At 35.1% G+C, this 20,562-nt stretch overlaps 1 protein-coding gene and 1 long non-coding RNA gene across 14 annotated transcripts in view; one reads left to right on the forward strand and one right to left on the reverse strand.

Annotated features, from left to right (window-relative positions):
- The window catches only part of NBEA (neurobeachin), a 730,467-nt gene that overhangs the window by 183,121 nt on the left and 526,784 nt on the right, over positions 1-20,562 (forward strand). For all 13 annotated transcript variants that reach the window (XM_047430271.1, NM_001385012.1, XM_006719803.4 and 10 more), the window contains one exon: positions 16,879-16,987. In XM_047430271.1, the coding sequence (XP_047286227.1) occupies positions 16,879-16,987 (109 nt within the window). The remainder of the gene's footprint in view (positions 1-16,878; positions 16,988-20,562) is intronic.
- LOC124903232 (uncharacterized) lies at positions 42-15,573 on the reverse strand. Its single transcript, XR_007063909.1, has 2 exons — positions 15,433-15,573; positions 42-11,447 (listed from the first exon to the last, which is right to left on the reverse strand). It is a non-coding gene; the product is annotated as an uncharacterized LOC124903232 (long non-coding RNA).

Below are 20,562 nucleotides of genomic sequence, written 5' to 3' on the forward strand. Positions count from 1 at the left end.
CAAAAATAGATCATTTGTTTGAAATAATAGATATACATATATCATGCCTGATAGCAGAGTTTTATTTGAATCAGATTGGTTTCAGAAAAGGAGAAGATATATCACAAAGAATTACACAGATGAGCTGTATTTGTGGCAAGCAGTCTATCTCTGTGGCTATAGAGAAAGGAAAGTTTGTGGATTGTGAAAGCAAAAGGTTACCCTTGTCCCTTCTTTTACACATATGCATGGAAGTGTCCTGCAGACAGATGGTCCACGTAAATTAGACTGCATCAAAAGAATTGGCACATCATCAGTGCAGGTGAATCAGATAAAAAACATGGAAAAAATAAGTTAAAGTAACCAGTACATGAATAGCACTTAGCAGAAAAATATTGCTATGGAATACATAGCATTTTGATTTAAAAATTTCATAAGTTAAAAATAAACAAATGCATACATACATACATACATACATACATACATACATAGCTTCTGAGAAAGAACCACTAAACAGAATTTGGAGAAGTAATCCAGCTACTCCGGAGGCTTACGCAGGAGGATTGCTTGAGCCCAGGAGTTTGAGTCCAGCCTGGGCAATGTAGCAAGATCCATATCTGGAAAAAAAAAATGTTGTAAGAAATGTTAACATAGTGATATGGTTTGGTTGTGTCCCCCCACCTAAAATCTCATCTTGACTTGTAATCCTCACCTGTAAAGGGTGGGACCAGGTAGACATAATTGGATCATGGGGGCAGTTCCCCCCTGCTGTTCTTGTAATAGTGAGTCGCATGAGATCTGATGGTTTTGTAAGCATTTGGCATTTCCCCTGCTTTCCCTCACTCCATCTTCCTGCCCTGTGAAGAAGGTGCCTACTTCTCCTTGCCTTCCACCATGATTGTAAGTTTCCTGAGGCCTCCCCAGCAATGCAGAACTGTGAGTCAATTAAACCTCTTTCCTTTATAAATTAGCCAATCTTGGGTATTTCTTCATAGCAGCATGAGAATGGACTAACACAGATAGCATGGAAGTATTTAATTATGAGTTAATAAAATATTGGACAAATACTGGAAGAAAATAACTATACACAAAAAAATAAAATTGGAAATTGCTCAAAGGCAAAACTCTGGCTAGTAGCATAGTGAAATACACAGAAGATAAAACTGAAAAAAAAGCAAATATTATGAATAGATGAAAATATGAGTTTAGGATTAGAAAGAAAATGAGCGACATGGGAGAAAAACAAATTACCATAATGGCATAAATTGGCCAGGTGTGCTGGCTCATGCCTGTAATCCCAGCACTTTGGGAGGCCGAGGTGGGCAGATCAACGAGGTCAGCAGTTTGAGACCAGCCTGGCCAACATGGTGAAACACCATCTCTACTAAAAATACAAAAATTAGCCGGGCATGGTGGCAGGTGCCTGTCATCCCAGCTACTCGGGAGGCTGAGGCAGGAGAATTGCTTCAACCCGGGAGGTGGAGGTTGCAATGAGCTGAGACCGTGCCATTGCATTCCAGAGCCTGGGAAGCAGAGGGAGACTCCATCTCAAAAAAAAAAAAAAAAGCCAAAATAATAATAATGGCATAAATGGAGTTCCCAAATAAGAAAAGCAGAATAATGGAACAAAACGAATATTTAAATCTATAATTCAGTGAAGTCTAGATGTAAGATTTTGCCATTTTTATTTAGAGGACATATTGTTTGCCAGGGAAAACTGACCTAGAATGGTTAGCATCAAAGTGCATTACTGGACTTAAATAGAAGAATACTTTGTATAATAGTGCACAAATAAGGAGAAAAATGAGTCTGGCTTTAGACTCTAAAATAACCTTCAATACAAAAAACTATAACAATCATAATTAAATGAAGAAAGTGGGAGCCAAACTATCCTTTAAGTAAAAAGGATGCTGTCAAATATTTTTTAGCCATACAGCAAATTATTTCTGTGACTAAATCTTGAGGAAATTGTGGGGAATAAAGTCCAACCAACTAGGAATGACTGGAGAAACTATTGCTAAGGACCGCTGGTGAGCACTGAATAAATTTAACCATAAAACTAAGACTAAAATAAATGTTCATATTACTGTGACAGACCAGAATTTACTTTTTATATATGCTAATAATGTACAAATGACACAACCGTAATGAATTGGGAGGGGACTGAGAAAAGAAGGAAAGTAGAGCAAGTGCAAAGAGTCAGAATTTCCATGTAAGTGGACAGATGAAATATTACAAATATAGGCCTATTGACTAAAATTTGATGATGTAGATGAAAGGAAAAAATTAAGAGTAAATATGCTGACATTTACATTTCTCATAGTAGGGAAATACCCTTTTTAAACAGATGGAGGATTACTTATTCTTTCACAGTTAAAAAGATAAGCAGTTCTATAAAATTATAAAGCTTTCAAAATATTTAAGATCTGTATGGATAAAACTAAGAACAATGTATGTAATGGAACTTTGAAAAATCCGTAAAGATCAGTAAGCATAACATAAAATATGAAATATCTAAGACCAGTCTTACTGTCATTAAAAAAAAATGTAAAAGCTTTTATAAATCAGCTGTTGTAAGAAAAATATCACAATTGATCACAGTAATGAAACCCAGTTCTGTATGCAAGAAACATACCCAAAAACCAAAGTGGTTTTGAAAGGTTGAAAGTAAAAGGATGAGTAAAGTTTTATTATATAAGTACAAAGAAAGCAGAAAGGGGTGGGGGGAGGGGGGAGGGATGGCATTGGGAGATACACCTAATGCGAGATGATGAGTTAGTGGGTGCAGCGCACCAGCATGGCACATGTATACCTACGTAACTAACCTGCACATTGTGCACATGTACCCTAAAACTTAAAGTATAATAATAAAAAAAAAAAGCAGAAAGTAGGAACCATGATCTTAGTATTGGACAAATTAGAATACAAGCCAAAAAGCAATAACCATTAGATAAAGAAGAATTCTTTATAATGATAAAATAGAAACATTCATAAACTAGAAATTACAGGAGAAACAGACAGTCACTTAAAGTTTAAGACTTCAGAACGAACTTTAATTCACCTATTTCAGTCCACAAAAAGCCAAGAAGATCTGAAATGGGATAAATCTTTTTGACCTTAAACTTGTGGGTCGGTGTGTAGGAAGATTGGAGTGCTATCATGCTGGCTCCAGGGGCTCATGGTGCAGGACTTATAGCTTGCTAAGTTTTATACTACAAGTCAGTAAGTTTAAAGGGTGCTCTGCCTGACACTACCTGCAGGGATCTCATCATTTAAAATTCACAGCCATGAGATTTGACCTTGACTCTGTGGGTAGTGAAAAATAGCAACTCATCTAAAGGGGCCTACTAGCCAGAGGCAGGATGAGAGAATCATCAAACTGTGTACCCAGTGAAGTAAAACTATGGTGGAGGCTGTTGTGGAACATCTGAATTTCATTTATACAAAGAGATTTTGAGATTCAAATAGAGCACCAATGATAATATTCTGCTCTTTTAGCTGATGATTTTTTAACCCTTCACCCTACTTAATGGAAGATCTGAAAGCATGGATGAAAAATAGAGAGTGAGAGAAAAGATAAAGCCTTAGAAAATAAGAGACTTCACATGTGGCTATTAAGAGTTCAAAACCAAACACCACATGTTCTCACTCATAGGTAGGAATTGAACAATGTGTGTGATGTTTCTCCTTAAACATGGGGGGAGGGGGGAGGGATAGCATTAGGAGATATACCTAATGTTAAATGATGAGTTAATGGGTGCAGCACACCAACATGGCATATGTATACATATGTAACAAACCTGCATGTTGTGTACATGTACCCTAAAACTTAAAGTATAATAAAAGAAAGAGTTCTTAGAAAAGTGATGAGTGTAAAAACTAGATATCCTGAAACACTTTGATCTACTAAAAACTTAGAAATGTTAGATAAAAATATGTCAAAAATCCTATTAAATATATAGGTGTGCACACAAAAGTAAGGGAAATTCTCACATTCCAGAAATGAAAATCAAGCATACTAAAAGAAACAAGACTTTAAAAACAAGGTAATTTAAAAATAAACCATGTAATTAAAAAAACCCTAAGTAACTTGTGAAAATGTAAAGGTAGTAATTACAATGAACACCTATATGGAAACATTAAACAGATTAGACAAAGCTTCACAAAGAATTGGTGAACTGAGGGATAGAACTGAAGAAATTACCTAGAAATCAACACCAATAAGCAAGATTACAACCATGACATTAAGAGAGGGGGAAAAAAGGAAAGGTTTCAAATATGGCTAATAAGAGTTATAGAAAAGGGGAAGAGAGAATGAGGAAGAGGCAATATTCAAAGTAAATTACTAAAGTTTTACAAAATTGATGAAAGACCTGATTTCTCAGATTTTGGAAGTAAAATGAATTCTAATCAGGGAAAATTAGTATGAAATCTTACCACAAAGTGAAACTCCAGAACCCAACAAGGACAAGGAGAACAACAAAGGGAAGTTAGCCATATAATATTAAAAGAAATATAATATTTTAGTAAAGAAAACAATATAGTACATATTTGTGAATAAACAGCAAAGTGCAGTCCATAGATTGACCCAAATACTTAGTGATTTTAGTGCTAATAAAGGTGCCATCTCTGATGAATAGAGTGATGATTTACTTTTAAAAAATGCTGTCTGTTAAAGGAATGGAACAAATGATATATTTTTATTTGCATTTAAAAAGTTAATAGGCAGTTATAACAAATGTACCACTCTGGTGAGGGATGTTGACAGTGGGGAAAGCTGTGTATATGTAGGGGTAGGGACATATGGGACTCCCTACATTCTGCTCAATTTTACTGAGAACCTAAAACTGCTCTAAAAATAAAGTGCATTTAAAAGAGAAGGGTAAAGTGGTAGGGAAATGAGAAATTATAAAGTGTTCACTTGTATGGGGGAGCTGTGAGTGATGTGGAAATGTAAAGGATGAGTTGGGTGTAAAATCTCTATGTATTTTTTTATGTCATATATTTTTAACTAGGTAAGTGTATTACTTATTCTAAAAATTAAATGATAAAAGCTGTTATTGCATTATTTAAATATATAAAAATAAACTTTAAGGCAAAAAATTTAATGAGGATGAAGGGGGCCACCATGTTATGAAAAAGGTGTAATTCACTAGGAATGTAAAAGTTTCAAATGCGTATACACTTAGTGTAGGTGAGTCGTAGAAATCTATTATTGACTAAATTTGGAAGAGTATTTTACAAATTTTAACATATTTTTTTCCTTAGAAGATCAATTACAAAAAATCTCAAAAGTATAATTTGAAAAAAAAAATCCATTGGCTTGAGTGTCATACACGTTCTTTTCAAACACACAAAACTATAGAAATTATTTAAATGAGACCATAAAGTAGGCTCAAGAAATTTAAACAAATTGTCATACAGATGACTTTCTCTGCAAACAGTGCAATTAAACAAGAAATCAATGACAAAAATTAAACTTAGAAAATAGAAATATATATATCTTCTAAATAACTATAACAAGAAGTTATTCATTATACAAATTATAAAATGCAGTAAAAATATTTAAAATTATGTATATTTACACTTGTGAGATTTGGTCTAAATGATACTAGAGAAAATTCATAGTTGTGAATATTTATATTAAAAGCAGAAAGGTACTTAGGTTTTCATTTTTCTAGGTTCTCGGTTATGCTTACCTCATTAATTGTCAGCCTAAGAAGGCAAAAGAAATAGTAAAGGGCAGAAGTGAATGAAACAGAAAGCAAGACTATTAAACAGAGTAACGGCAAGGCCAAAAAGCCGTATTATTCACTTATAAAATACTTTTCCATGACTAGCTAAAGAAGGAATCGGCCACTATTTCACCTAATATAATTCATACAACCATGATACCAAAATTGGATATGGATTATCCAATTATAAGGGAAATTTATGGTCAATCTCCCCTATGAACATGAGTCTATCAGTTACTTTTTTAAAAGTATACAGCATAACCAAATTGAGGGTAGTCATAGAATGTAAAGGTGGTTTAACATCAGGACAACATTTCATCTATTTATTAACAAAGGAGAATAGCTATATAATTATGATGTGTGCAAAAAATTTTCATAAAATTCAGTATCATTTGTCATAAAAATTTTTAGCAAACCACAAATAGAAAATAATTTATTCAATCTGGTAACATATGTCTACTGAAAACTTTCCACAGTCCTATTTAGTAATGAAATGTTAGAAGCATCCCCTTTGAAAAACTAACAATTAACAAAAGCCTGCTTTCACCACCCCTGTTTGACATCCTATTGGGTAATATTTTGGCATTTATGAAACACTCCACTTAAAGCTAGCAAAATTGTTTTCAAGTGCATATGCAGCATTCTCCAAAAGGTATTATGAGTTGGGGTGTAAAATATAAAACAAGTCTCAGTAAATTTAAAAACTAATAAATCAAACAGAGTGTATTATCTGACCACACAGAATTAAATTTGAATGAAAGAGGTTTGAGAAATTGCAAGGTATTTGGAAGTAAAGAACGTAACTAATCCCTGAGTCAAAAAAGAAATCATAAAGAACATTAGACGTTAGTTAGAACTGAACGAAAACAAAACCACAGCATAGACTACTTACTGAATGCTTATGCATTGCTGATGGAATGTAGAATCCTGCAGCCATGTTCCAAAAGGATTTCCTAATTTCTTAAAAAGTATTACCATACTTAGGAATGTATCCAAAAGAAGTGATAGCATGTTCATAGCCAGACTTCGCATGAATGTTCTTAGTACTATTATTACTATTATTATTATTTTGAGATGGAGTCTCACTCTATTACCCAGGCTGGAGTATAGTGGCACGATCTCCGCTCACTGAAACCTCTGCTTCCCATGTTCAAGCGATTCTTCTGCCTAAGCCTCCCACGTAGCCAGGACTACAGGTGCGTGCCACCATGCCCAGCTAATTTTTTTGTATATTTAGTGGAGATGGGGTTTCACTATGTTGGTCAGGCTGGTCTCAAACTCCTGACCTCAGATGATCTGCCCACCCCAGCCTCCCAAAGTGCTGGGATTACAGGCGTGAGCCACTGTGCCCAGCCAGTACTATTATTAATAGTAGCTCCAAACTAGAAACAATCCAAAAGTCAATCAGCTGATGAATGGACAAACAAAATGTTTTATGTCTATACAATGGAATACTATTGTGCAATTAAAAGGGAACAAACTACTGATGCATGCTATGACATAATGAGTCCTAAAACTATTATGCTAAGTGAAAGAAGCCAGATGCAAAAACTATATACTATATGCTTCTGTTTATATGAAATGTCCAGAATGCAAATAAGTGGTTAAATGGGGCTAGCAATGGGAGTGGGAATTAACTGCCAGTGGGCACAGGGAACTGTTGAGGATGATAAAAATGACCTATAACTATATTGTAATGATAGTGGCATGACTCTATATAATTTTTAAATGAATTGTTCATTTGCAAAATGTGTGAATTTTGTGGTATGTGTATTATAGTTCAGTAAAGCTAGTAAAAATGTGAAAAACAAAATTTAAAACTCTTTGGAAGTGCAGGATAATAGTATTATCACCTTGGATTAAGGAAGGATTTCTAAAACAATAAATACACATAAATCATACAGCAAAAAGATAAATTTGACCATTAGAATAAAAAGTACTTTAAAAGATACCATAAAAAGTGAAAAGACAAGGCACAAAGTGAAAGAAGATATTTGCAGTTTATCTAGGATACAGTGGATTTGTATCCTAAACATACGAAAAAAATTGTGCAAATAAATTAGAAAAAGAAAATCTGTTAGGATCATGAAGAATATAAACAGACAATTCACTGAAGAGGAAACTTGAGTTAGCAGTAAACATATGGGTGATATACTCAACTTCAGTAGTAATCAAGAAAATGCAAATAAAACATGCATTTAATGCTTATCAGGATGGTAAATTTTAAAACTGTTGACAGTATCAAGTGTTGACAAAGGATGTACATCAGTGGTAACTCTCCAGTCACTGGTGGAATTATATACTGGTACAATCACATTGAAGAACAATTTACAATTTTTGAAAAAGATAAATATACTTATACTCTATGACTAAGGAACTCTCTCCTTGACATAGAGAAAGTCTCATGTGTGTGAACAGTGTTCAATATAACATTGCTAATATTAAAAGTTGGAAACAACATAGAATAGGAGAACAGATAAATAAACTAAGGTATATTCATACAGTTGGATATATTCAGAACTGAAAATGAATGAAGTAAAGTTACCTTGCACAAATCAAATATAAAGCAGTAAAGCAAGTTGCAGAAGGATACATAATAATGATGCAATTTATTTCAATTTCAAAAATACGTGAAGACAAAATTGTAAATTGCGTATGAATAGATATTCATCTAATTAAAAGTATAAAGACGTACATGGGAATAAAAAACAAAATTTATGATTATTGGTTATCCCGAAGTAGAGTGTGAAGAATGGGATGATGGACAGGTATCCAGAAATACTTACTAAGTTGGTTGGTGGTTACATGAATATTTATTATGTTTAAAAAAAAAACTGAGTAAAGAAACGTATAGCAAACAAAAGTAAAGCAGAAATTTATTATCACTGTAAAAATCAGATGGGATTTGAAAGCCCAAAACACAATGAGTTGAACCTGAGGTTAAAAGTTCAAAAGAGAATGTGGAAGGACATTCTGTATTTTGAAAGGAATAATTTAAGTAGATGGTGTTAAGTTCATAAACCTGAAAACATCAAATAGCGATGTCAAAAATATAAAGCAAAATTCATTTGAGATGCAAAAGAACTTGATAAAATAGAATAATGGTAGAGATGACATATCTCTCTCAGAATGGGACCAATTGATAATACATACAGATATAGAGAAATTGAGTAATAGATTCATAAAACTTGGCTCAACAGATATATGTTCAATCTTACATATTTTGAGGATATACTTCATGGCTAAAGAAGATATACAAAAAAAAAAGGCGGGTCATGTCCTGGGCCATCAAATGAACAAAGCAGACAGAGTAGACATTTTATTGGACACTGCCTCCTGACCATAATGTGATAAAATTGGAAATAAAAAAAGAAATTATGCAAAAATATCTTACCTACTTAGAAATTAAGAAGCAGTGTGAAGATATCCTTTAGAGAATAGAAGAAAATAAAAGAAAAATTAGAAATTATCTAAAATTTTCTGTACTTCATAGCAAAAACTCTTATCAGAAATAAATACCTCCATTACTGAAAAATAAAGATTAAAGTTAGAAGAACTTTGTACTTATATTACAACATTAATTAAAGTACAATAAAGTAAAGTAGGAAGTACAAATTAGTAAGGGTGGAGGCTAACATGAAGAAACGAGAAAAATAAAAACGAACTGTTGAAAGGATCACTAACTACAAAGCTGATGTTTTTAAGGAACCAACAAAATGAATCAAACTTTCCCATACCTCATTGAGATAAAATAGAAGCTTTTGAATAAGGAAAGCCTTTTCAAATTATAGGACAGATTATAATAATTATAAGAAAAATATAGTACATTATAATGACATATAAGAGGTCCACTTCTAATTCTTGGTAATATCATTTTCTATATATTTTATGTGTTCATTCATTCGGTTTTTCCCACATATACATAGTACTTTTCCATCAATTAAAAAATGGGAAGGGTAATATCCAGTCATTAATAAATAAAATAAAACTACAGGAGCACAAAACATGCCCTGTTTTGCTTCACTAGTAATCACCAACAAACCTATCGTATGCTCCCTTAATGCAGAACTGTGTTTTGATATAGTTTCCGTGTAAACATTGGTGCATATAGCATTGAGTTCCTATACCTTATCCTCCATTCTAGCCTCAAAATAAAATGCTGGGGAGATGTAGGTTAAAATCTGAAATAATATTACAACTGTCCTGATAGATTGAAGAAGATCAGAAAGTATAATAATATCTACTAGTTGAGTAACTACTGCTTCTTACTACAGAATAATATATACAATGATAGCCAAAGGAAATTGGAAATGTAAATACAATTATAAATTGCTTCCTGAAAACCATTAAAAATTAAAAATACAGTAAATGGAGAGCTATGCTGTGTACATTAATGGGAAGACTCAATTATATAAAGATAAAATTGTAATAAATCAATTTGTAAACATGTCATTCTGGTAAAAAATATAATTTTTATTTAAAGGTTAAAAAAACTCTTCAAAAGCTAACTCAGATGAACAAATAAGTAAAAATGTCAATAGAAGTTTGAAGAATAAGAATAATGAGTATTTATTGTAATAAGTCTAGTGGACTTTATATCAAGGAATAAACTTAAAGAAGGGGTGTAGAATAGAAAGCACAGAAACACATCCTGATATACGTGTATATCTATATATATATATGTATGCTTAGATACTAGAAACATAATTAAAATATGAATTATTCAATAATTGGCAGTGGGAAATTATTTAACTTCTGGATTGAAGGTGGAGAAGAAGCCTTCAAACCATATCACCACACCCAGCCCCCTCCCCCCTCAAAAAAAAGAAAACCAAAACCACAAACATTTTACAAAGAATAAACATTTGGAATTGTGGACTTCCAGATCAAGTTGATAAAGAGAGATGAAAGAATATCCCTTGTCCCAACCTAATGAAATAAACATTATATAGTAAAGTAGAGACTCTCCCCCTCCAAAACAACAAATTCAAATGTAACCAGACAAGGAAAGCAGCATCACATAAAGCAATGCATGCAAAATATTGACAGCGAAAAAAAAGAACCCAGAGATTCTGGAGTGACTTCGTAAGTATCCTTCCCTCATTTCTATCCCTACAAAGCCAACGGAATTCCTAGATTTCTCCCTTAATAATCCCCACATTAGAGTGATAGGAATTGATTAGATATACCTGGTTTTTCTTCTTTAGGACTTTTGGTGAGTGAAAATAGTTCTTTTTTGAAACAAGGAGAATGAACTGAGATTGATGTTCTGTGATGAAAATGGGATTCCAAGTTTTTGTATTAACTTATCACACTGAGGGATCAAGTCAAGGCCTGAAACAATTTCCTTTTGGAAATGAGATATAGTCCCTTAAGTAATGTATGGAAAAAGCACACCATCTTCTAGGAAAATTTGACAGAGAATGATAACACTAAGATATATAGTATTTAAATAAAAGTTTAGTGATTAAAAAAGAGAGTTCCTAAAAAGAAAATGGAAAACCTAGGCAAAAAAGAAGTACTTTCAAATGGTTAAACATTTGGCTGGCCTCAGACTTCTCCCAGTTGAATTCAGTGCCAAAAGAAATAATGCAGTGTCTGCAAGTTCTGAAAGAAGGTGTGACCCGAGAATATTATATCCTGCCAGATTGTTAAGTATGTAGACATCAGGTCAGAATTCAGAAGACAGACTTCTTCATCTCCTCTTGAATGGCATCCCCAGTCAATTGAGAGCTGAGTCAAAAGAAAAACCACAAATGGTAAAGACAAGGTCAAGGAAGTGAATTCATTTGAAGTAGACGAAGACCCAACAATTCATACATAACAGCAGTGTTACAATGAAAATAATTTAAGTGTTTTAAACCTTGATGTTCAAATAGCAATATAGCTCACAAAAACTAGATGACATAAAGTGTGAGGATGGTAATTATCTGTCTTTAATATAAAAGAGTAAATTGATACTTTCTAAAATTGAAATGTTTAGTTAATTATGTAACACTTTGTTGTTTTATTCATAATTATTTTTTAAGCCTCATAGAGATTTTTAATTAGAAAAAAGCCCTTTGGCCGGGCACGGTGGCTCATGCCTGCAATCCCAGCACTTTGGGAGGCTGAGATGGGTGGATCCCTTGGTCAGGAGATCGAGACCATCCTGGCTAACACGGTGAAACCCCGTCTCTACTAAAAATACAAACAATTAGCTGGGTGTGGTGGCGGGTGCCTGTAGTCCCAGCTACTGGGGAGACTGAGGCAGGAGAATGGCCCGAATGCAGGAGGCGGAGCTTGCAGTAAGCCAAGATCACGCCACTGCACTCCAGCCTGGGCGACTGAGCAACACACAGTCTCCAAAAAAAAAAAAAGCCCTTCATGTGGTAAAGAAAGTCATCTGAAGTTTTAAAAATTTTTTTATTGTTTCATGCCCTTTTCTTTATTTTCTGTTAAATGTGAGTAAAATTACATTTGATGCTTTTTATTTAAAATAAAATTTAGTATGAGTTTCTTCTATCCTTCTTTATTCCCTCTTTCTTCCCTTCTCCTTTATTACCTTCTCTTACTCTCCATAAAAAGATATCTAATGTTTATTGTTATTTATTGTGTTACTTTTGGGTAGTAGAATTTTAAGTCTTGTACTTTCTGTTTCCCTACAGTTTATGAATTTCTATGTTGTATATGATTTAACACAACCAATTAAATAATTATGAAAAATGAGTTAAAATAAAAATCATTTTAAAATGCTATAGTAGAAAGAATGAGTATTAAGTATAAATGAAGAAATGACAGGATGAAAACTTGATAGATTTTATTCAAGAAAATTAAAAAAAACCTTTGATGCCACAAAATCCCTTGAAATTCAGAAAGTGGAAAATATTTGTAAATGAGTTGACAAAGGAATAATTTTCCTGATATTATTAGGAATCTCATAATTAGTAGAAAAAAGATGAACACACAGAAGGAAAAAATGGGTCACAGGACAGTATCAGGAAGTTCTTGGAAGTAGTATAAATGGTTAGAAAGTTTCAATTGATCAGCAATTCTTGTCAATGAAAATAAGATCTACTTTTTACATACCAAATTGACTATTTTTCTGATTATTATAATACATAGGGTTGGTAAAATGCATTTATACCTTAATAGTAGAAATATAAATGTACATATTTTTGGAGGTCAGTTCAGCAAAGTCTCATAAAAATTAAAATATAAAAGCTTTTAACCCAATCATTTCAGTTTTTATCCTAAGGAAATAACCATGGTTATGCCCAAAAATGTGTCTAAAGGAAAAGTTTATTTATGGTAGAAAAAAATTGGAAATTACATAAATGGCTAACATTAGTTAATGGATAAAACAATTATGCTACTTTTTTTTTTTTTTTTTCGAGATGGAGTTTTGCTCTGTCGCCCAGCTTGGAGTGCAATGATGCAATCTCCACCCACTGCAACCTACACCTCCCATGTTCAAGTGATTCTCCTGCCTTGGCCTCCAGAGTAGCTGGGATTACAGGCGCCTGTCACCATGCCCGGCTAATTTTTGTGTTTCTGGTAGAGACAGGATTTCACCATGTTGGCCAGGCTGGTCTTGAACTCCTGACCTCAAGTGATCCTCCCACCTCAGCCTCCCAAAGTGCTAGAATTACAGGTGTGAGCCACTGCGCTCGGCCAATTATGCTCCATTTTTCTTATCAGTTATATTTTATGACACTGAAAAATACACAATATATTGTTGACTTAAACAAACTATAAATTACCTTATATAGAACAATTTCCATTGTATTCCTCTCATCCTGTCATTTATATCTGTGTGTCATATATGGATTTATATGCATAGTAATTAATCTGTATATAAAATGATATTTATAATGATTATGTCTGGGTTGAAGAATTATGGGGTTTCTTTTCTTTCTTTATTGTTTTCTTTACTGTTTTCATATATACTCTGAATTTGTTACAAGAAATATCTTTTTTTTTTTTTTTTTTTTTGAGACAGAGCCTAACTCTGTTGCCCAGGCTGGAGTGCAGTGATGCAATCTCAGCTCACTGCAACCTCCGCCTCCCATGCTCAATTGACTCTCCCACCTCAGCCTCCCAAGTAGCTGGGACTATAGGTGCATGCCACCACACCTAGCTAATTTTTGTATTTTTAGTGTAGATGGGGTTTCACCATGTTGGCCATGCTGGTCTTGAACTCCTGACCTCAAGTGATCCGCCTGCCTCGGCCTCCCAAAGTGTTGGGATTACAGGCATGAGCCACCACACCCAGCAATAAGAAGTATCTTTGGCCATCCCACAAAAAGATTGTTTTGTGAAGAAAGAAATTTAAATACATTTCAGTGGAATGTATAGTAAGCTAATACATCTATAATGTGCATGATTACAAGATTCTGTAAAAAAAAATAGATTACACTGTCGATCCATGTGGGCAGAAATCCTGTCAAACTCAAGATATAAAGCAAATCAGCACTAAAAACTGAGGTCTCTAGATCTTAAAGGTAATTATGATGTTAGTTTTTCCAGTAAATGTCCCACTGAAGCCTTTCCTGAACTAAACCCACAGAGCTAGGTCTTTCATTAGAAGTCCTATAAGGAACAAAATCATGTGATGTACAGGGCCAGTGCACCATTTCCTGCCTAAGATGATGGATGGCGTTTTTTTTTTTTTTTTTTTTTTTTTTTTATCTCTTGACTGCTGTGCAACAAAATGTACTGGTAAGTATTGTTTTAAAGAAAACTACAGGAGGAAGTTGACTCATCTCTACTGTGGTGTATGCACAGCATCTTCAAGTTTCCCCCGAACCTAGAATTAAGCATCTGTATAAACGTTTGCATTGGAGGAGATAATCAAGAGGGCATGGATTTCTTCGGTAGCTGAAGTAGTAGTGGCACAGTTAAGAGAATATTCTAAATTTCAGATAGCCTACTTAATTAATTAGTTCACTTTTTTGAGACCAGGTCTCACTCTGTTGCTCAGGCTAGAGTGCAGTGGCACAAGCTCACTGCAGCCTTGATCTCCAGGAATCAAGTCATTCTCCCCTTCTTGAGTAACTGGGGACTATAGGAGCCTGCCACTATGCCCAGCTAATTTTTTTTTTTTTTTAAGTAGAGATGAAGTCTTGCTGTGTTGCCCAGGCTTATCTCAAACTCATGAGTTCAAATGAGCCTCCTGCCTTGGCCTCCCAAACTGCTGGGATTACAGGCATGAGGCACTGAGCTGGCCTTTAGATAGACTAATTTAGACATATGTTTACCAGCTCCTTGTAGCAGAGATCTATTTCAAGGCCAATGCTTTGTCATTTGTTCTTTCCTGATTGGGAGCAAAGGAACACTTAAGGCCTCCTTTTCTTGGGCGAGGCTTGAGTTGGAAGAGATTTAAACCTTCCCTTCCATAGTCCCATAATACTCATTAGCCCTGTATTTTTTTTAAATAGCCATTTGACCTTTTTCAGTCATATTTAAGTGTTTTGCAAACACAGCTGCAGAACAGATGCCCTAGCTTCCTTTTGAGTTTAGGTCATTTTGCTTTTTCCTTCCCTGGACTGAGGCAGATAGGGTGAGGGTATCAACAATCCTGTGTCTTTTGTTATGGAGTGTGGCTCTTGGAGGCTAATGTTAGAAGAGACCTTTTGCAGATGAATGGTACGGACATAAATGGTTCATTTGATTTCTGTATTAATTATGGTAACAGTAGCTGCCATAACTGATAAATAATGAAATTCTAGTCACTTACCAGGCTAGTAGTTTATTTCATGTTCACTTAAAATCCAAATAGGTTTTCCCAAGCAGTTGATTATCTTACAGTGATTTAGAGACCCAGGCAGCTTCTCCCACCTTGTAGCTCCATTGTCTTCCTTCTGTGGATTCTGTGTTGCTGGCTTGGGGAAAGAGCATGGAAAATGTGCATGAGTGCTTTTCCTGTGGGTCAGGACTAAAAATAATCTACAACTTTTCTCTTCACATTTTATTGGCTAGAACTCAGTTAAATAGTCACACTTAGCTATAAGAGAGGCTGGAAATGTAATACAGATGTGGACCAAGGAAGAAAGGAACCAGAGTTTAGTGATTACTTTGTCAGGCTGTGTCACAGTTGCCAATCCAGAGAACAATAGAAAATTGAAGAAATGAAATACTGAGAATTGGGAGAGAAGATGATCCAGATTTTGAATTCTTTTTTTGTTTTTTTGTTTTTTTCTTGAGATGGAGTCTCACTCTTGCCCAGGCTGGAGTGCAGTGGCTCGATCTCGGCTCACTGCAACCTCCACCTCCCAGGTTTAAGCGATTCTTCTGCCTCAGCCTCCTGAGTAGCTGGGACTACAGGCATGTGCCACCACGCCCAGCTAATTTTTGTATTTTTAGTAGAGATGGGGTTTCACCACATTGGCCAGGCTTGTCTCGAACTTCTGACCTCGTGATCCACCCACCTCAGCCTCTGAAAGTGCTGGGATTACAGGCGTGAACCACTGTTCCCGGCCCAGATCTTGAATTCTAAGGAAGTGACACAAATGAGAGGCCTGTAGTAATTCTTGAGCTAGAGCTAAGAGTTCCAGGAGGCCTTTAATGGAACCTTCTATCCTGAGTATGGGTGTGGGAGGGACACAATTAAATCAGGCAACATTAAGTAGAAAGATATTTTTTAAATCCATTGGTAGACCACAAATACAAGCAATGATGAACTCTCTTTAATTATGCAGAATTATTTTGTTTTATGACACCAAAATTAAGCTAGAGTATTTATTTTTAACCATAGTTTTAGTTCTTGATATTAAGGTTTGTTACAGCCTATGTTATAAACTTTGAATTTGTACAGGCATGATTTAAAAATTATGTGGTCTGTATGTTAGGGGATACCAATAATTTTAACCCAATAAAATAACTTCAAAATAGTTATTTGAAATTTGAAAATAATAACAATGACATGTATGTAATATTCCATAATTTGTACATTTCACATTTTAGTTCACACAGATATTTTATTTGAAAAGTTTTTAACTAATAGTCTTGGAACTTTAGGATACAGTTGTGTTACAAACTGTTGTTTCTATAGATGGAAGTTCATGAAAATAATTACTTGTATTATTCTGTATCTGCTTATAAATTGTTCTCTCTTATCTAAAAGTCATGTGATCGGAGAATCCAATGTGTTTCATGGTGTTTTATTTTTCCTCCTTCTCTCCAGGAGAAAAGTTGAAATTATGCACACCCATAGTCTTTTCACTCTTCTTGGAGAAAGGCTGATGTTGCATACAAACACTGTGACTGTCACCACATACAACACACTTTATGAGGTAAAAATAAAAAATGTGTGATGAAAGTTTTAAGTGTATACAGTGGAAACCCTCTTAATCTATGCAATTGAGATGAGTAGTTGGTCTGTTAATCTAAAAGCTAATTAAACCAGAAAATGGTTTAATGGTAAAAAATGAATATATACCTTATATTTTTATTTTATTTTAAAACATATCCATGTACAATTTTTGCCAATTTCTTTATGTCGATCCAAGAGCTTTTCTTCTTGTATGGGTTGGCTGACTGGCTTCACACAAAGTCTTTCTCACATAAACTACATCCGTTATGTAGTATTAGTTCTGCTTCCCCATCCCCACCCCTCTGTTTTTATCCTCTCGTTCCTACTCTCTCTCTTTCTGCTTCTATTAGCTATCCACTGCCAGTATTAAGCTGGAGTTGCTACTGGGATAAATTTCGGTAAGAATTATTTGTAAAAATGATATCTGGAAGCATCTTTGGATCTCATCATTTCAATTTAGAGGTTCCTTTTTTATCACTTCCAACAAATGGGACAGTTTTGGGTTCAGTATTTTCTAGGAAATAGGTATACTACCTCACAGGGTGGCTACTTTCATTTTTAAATGCTAGTAAAATGTTAGTAATGTCCCCTTACATTAACCTTAACTCTGCTTTCCTATAACTGATCTTCAGTGGTCCCAGTTCTTTTTCTCTAGCACAAGAGCTAACTGCCAGCATCCATTTTTGTATGGCTCTAAGTTAAGGAAGCTTTTTATATTTCTAAATGGTTGAAAATAATCAAAAAAAGAATAATATATGAGTTGTAAAATGTATAGGATTTTCAAATTTCAGCGAACACAGTCACACTCATTTGTTTAGCTGTTGCGTGTAGCTGCTTTTGTGCCACGACCGCAGAGTTAAAGAGTTGTAACAAGAATATTTGTTATGCTCTCCTCACCTTGCACTGTTGCTTGGCAAACTAGAAATTACGGTGATGTAATACCTCAACAGTGTTTCATGTACCACTTGTATTGCCAAACCTAAGTTTTCTGCTTTTAAATACCAGTGCATACCCATCATGTCAAAACAAGAAAAGAAAAGTGGATTTTTAATCTCACACTTTGAAATACAGCAGAGTGTAGATTATTTTGTTATAGATTTAGATGGCAAGGCCTTGCGTCTGTTATACAAGGGCATTATAGTCATGCTAAGAGAAGACTTACAGGTACTACTAAATATCCATAATATTATTCCTAACTCAGAAGAGCAGTGGTCAGAAAACATTAAACAGAATATCTCATCATTGTAGATTTCTTTATAAAAATGTTTTAAAAATAAAAATGAGAGACATTGAGAAAGGGAGATGCTAAGCTTCTGAATGGAATTGTACTATAATTTTGAATTAACCTGTAATCTCAGCTACTTGCGGGGCTGAGGCAGGAGGACTGCTTGATCCCAGGAGGTCTGCTAGATCCCAGGAGGTCAAGGCTGCACTGAGCTGAGATCGCGCCACTGCACTCCAGCCTGAGTGACAAAGTGAGACCCTGTCCCCTTCAAAAAAAAAAACAAAAAAAAAAACAAAAACAAATTTACACTTCTCTAATACTGTTTCTTTTCATGTAAGCCATGGAACAGATCAAGTCAATTGCAGATTTTGCACAGTCCTCAAACAGGATAGGTTTTACATTTTTAAATGATGGGGGAAAAAGTGTATTTTGGGATGTGTTCAATTATATGAAATTCAAATTTCGGTCTCTGCAAATAAAAGTTTTTGTTTCTTTGGGTTCTTTTAAGGAAAAGTACAGAGAGTTATTGCAAAGAGAAAAGTACACACTCAGGAAAGGGGAGTGTGGGTATACTTAAGAGAGAGTTGCATGCAAGGGTTTTTGGGGCTGCTACCTTTATGAATTTCTTCTAACCAAGGGATGGATGGAATATTCATAAAGATTACAGTAAAAGGGTAGATATTTCCCAGAACTGTGATGCTATCTAGTTTTACTCCAAATATGGGTGTTCCTGGAACCATTATGGTGCTGGTGAGTGTGTGATTTAGTATGTCAGTGAGTGTATAATGAGGTCCTAGGTGAACCTCCATCAAATCCAGTGCCATACTGGGTGCAGTTAGCCTTAGCTATCTTGGCTCTCATCCTGGCTTTTCAGGGTCTTGTCAACCCCTAGTTTCTGAAGCTATTTCAACAGTTTCCTTTTGCTAGTCATGCGAAACTGCTGCCTGGAGTTTTTTGTTCTCCTGCAACCACCCTTATTATTCCTGTTTCATTTCCCCTTCCCCTTCAGAGATGTCCATCTCTTATTCTTATGGGCTGATGAGGGAGAAGGTCGGTCTTCTTTATCTACTTCCTGCTGATTAGAGATGTTGGCCCTGCCTGGCAAGGGTATGGAAATCTTTGGCTGCCTGGCCTGAGGGTTCTAAGGGTGAGTCATCAGGAGACTCTGAATCCAAAGCAGGGATTGGAATCATTGCATGACCATCATTTTGACATGGAACTGTTGTAATGTAAAAGACACAAAATTTACAAGGAGGTTAAACAAGTAAGGACAAAGATTCATAGTAATAAGAGAGCTATTAAAGGTCGAAGGAAGGAGGAACCATGTCACAGTTGGTAGGTATCCTTTGATGGAGTCCCAGATGGTTTGAGCAGTGGGATTATATTGAAATTATGTAGCCAGGTAGCCTGTTAGTAAATCTTTTGAACTTTCAGTTCAACTAATCCTGAATTGTTAATATAAGAACAACAGGTGTGGTTTATTACTGTGCAAACCCCTCTTTGTTCAGCCAGAACATAAAGCCTCTTGTTGTTTCCTTGACCATTCAAGTAGTTCATGCTTTGGCACGGTTAGAGCTTCATACAGTAGCTTAGCAATGAGCCTAAATCATGGGATCAAAATCTTGCAAATTCCTGTCATACCCAGGAAAGTTTTGAGTTGCTTCTTCGGTTGTAGAGGCCTGACCTTTAAGATAGCTTCCTTTTGTTCGATGGACATGGTGTAGTTTCTTGGGCTTAGGATGTACCCCAGATATTTTACTTCCAGTTTAGAAGTCTGGGCCCTGGGTGGAGAGACTGGATACCCTTTCTCCCAGGAAGTTTAGAACTTGAATAACATTCTTATCTGAGGCCTCTTTAGTGGGTCTGCATACAAGGATGTCATCCACATATTGGCGTGTGGCTTCCCTTTCTGGCTCTAGTTCCCTTAATTCTCTTGCCAAGGCATTTCTGAACAAGTGATGGCTATCCCTAAAGCCCGGAGGCAGTACAGCCCAGGTATACTGCCAGGAAATACTATTTTCAGGATTAGTTCGCTCAAAAGCAAACAAATAGTGACAGTCAAGGCATAAAGGGATACAAAAGAAAGCATCTTTAAGATCTAATATCATTAACCAATTGGTGTCTTCTGATATTTGGGTAAATGTGGTAGAAGGATTTGGCACTTTAGGATGTAAGGGAATTACAGCCTCATTAATGGTTCATAAGCCTTGAACTAGACAATATTCTTCATTTTGTTTTTGGACAGGGAGGACAGGACTATTACAAAGAGACTGACATGGAACTGGGAGGCCATGTTTTAAAAACTTCTTAATTACAGGTTAGAGTCCTCA

The sequence above is a fragment of the Homo sapiens genome, chromosome 13 (genome assembly GCF_000001405.40).
Source record: "Homo sapiens chromosome 13, GRCh38.p14 Primary Assembly".
In the NCBI taxonomy this organism is placed as follows: Eukaryota; Metazoa; Chordata; class Mammalia; order Primates; family Hominidae; genus Homo; species Homo sapiens.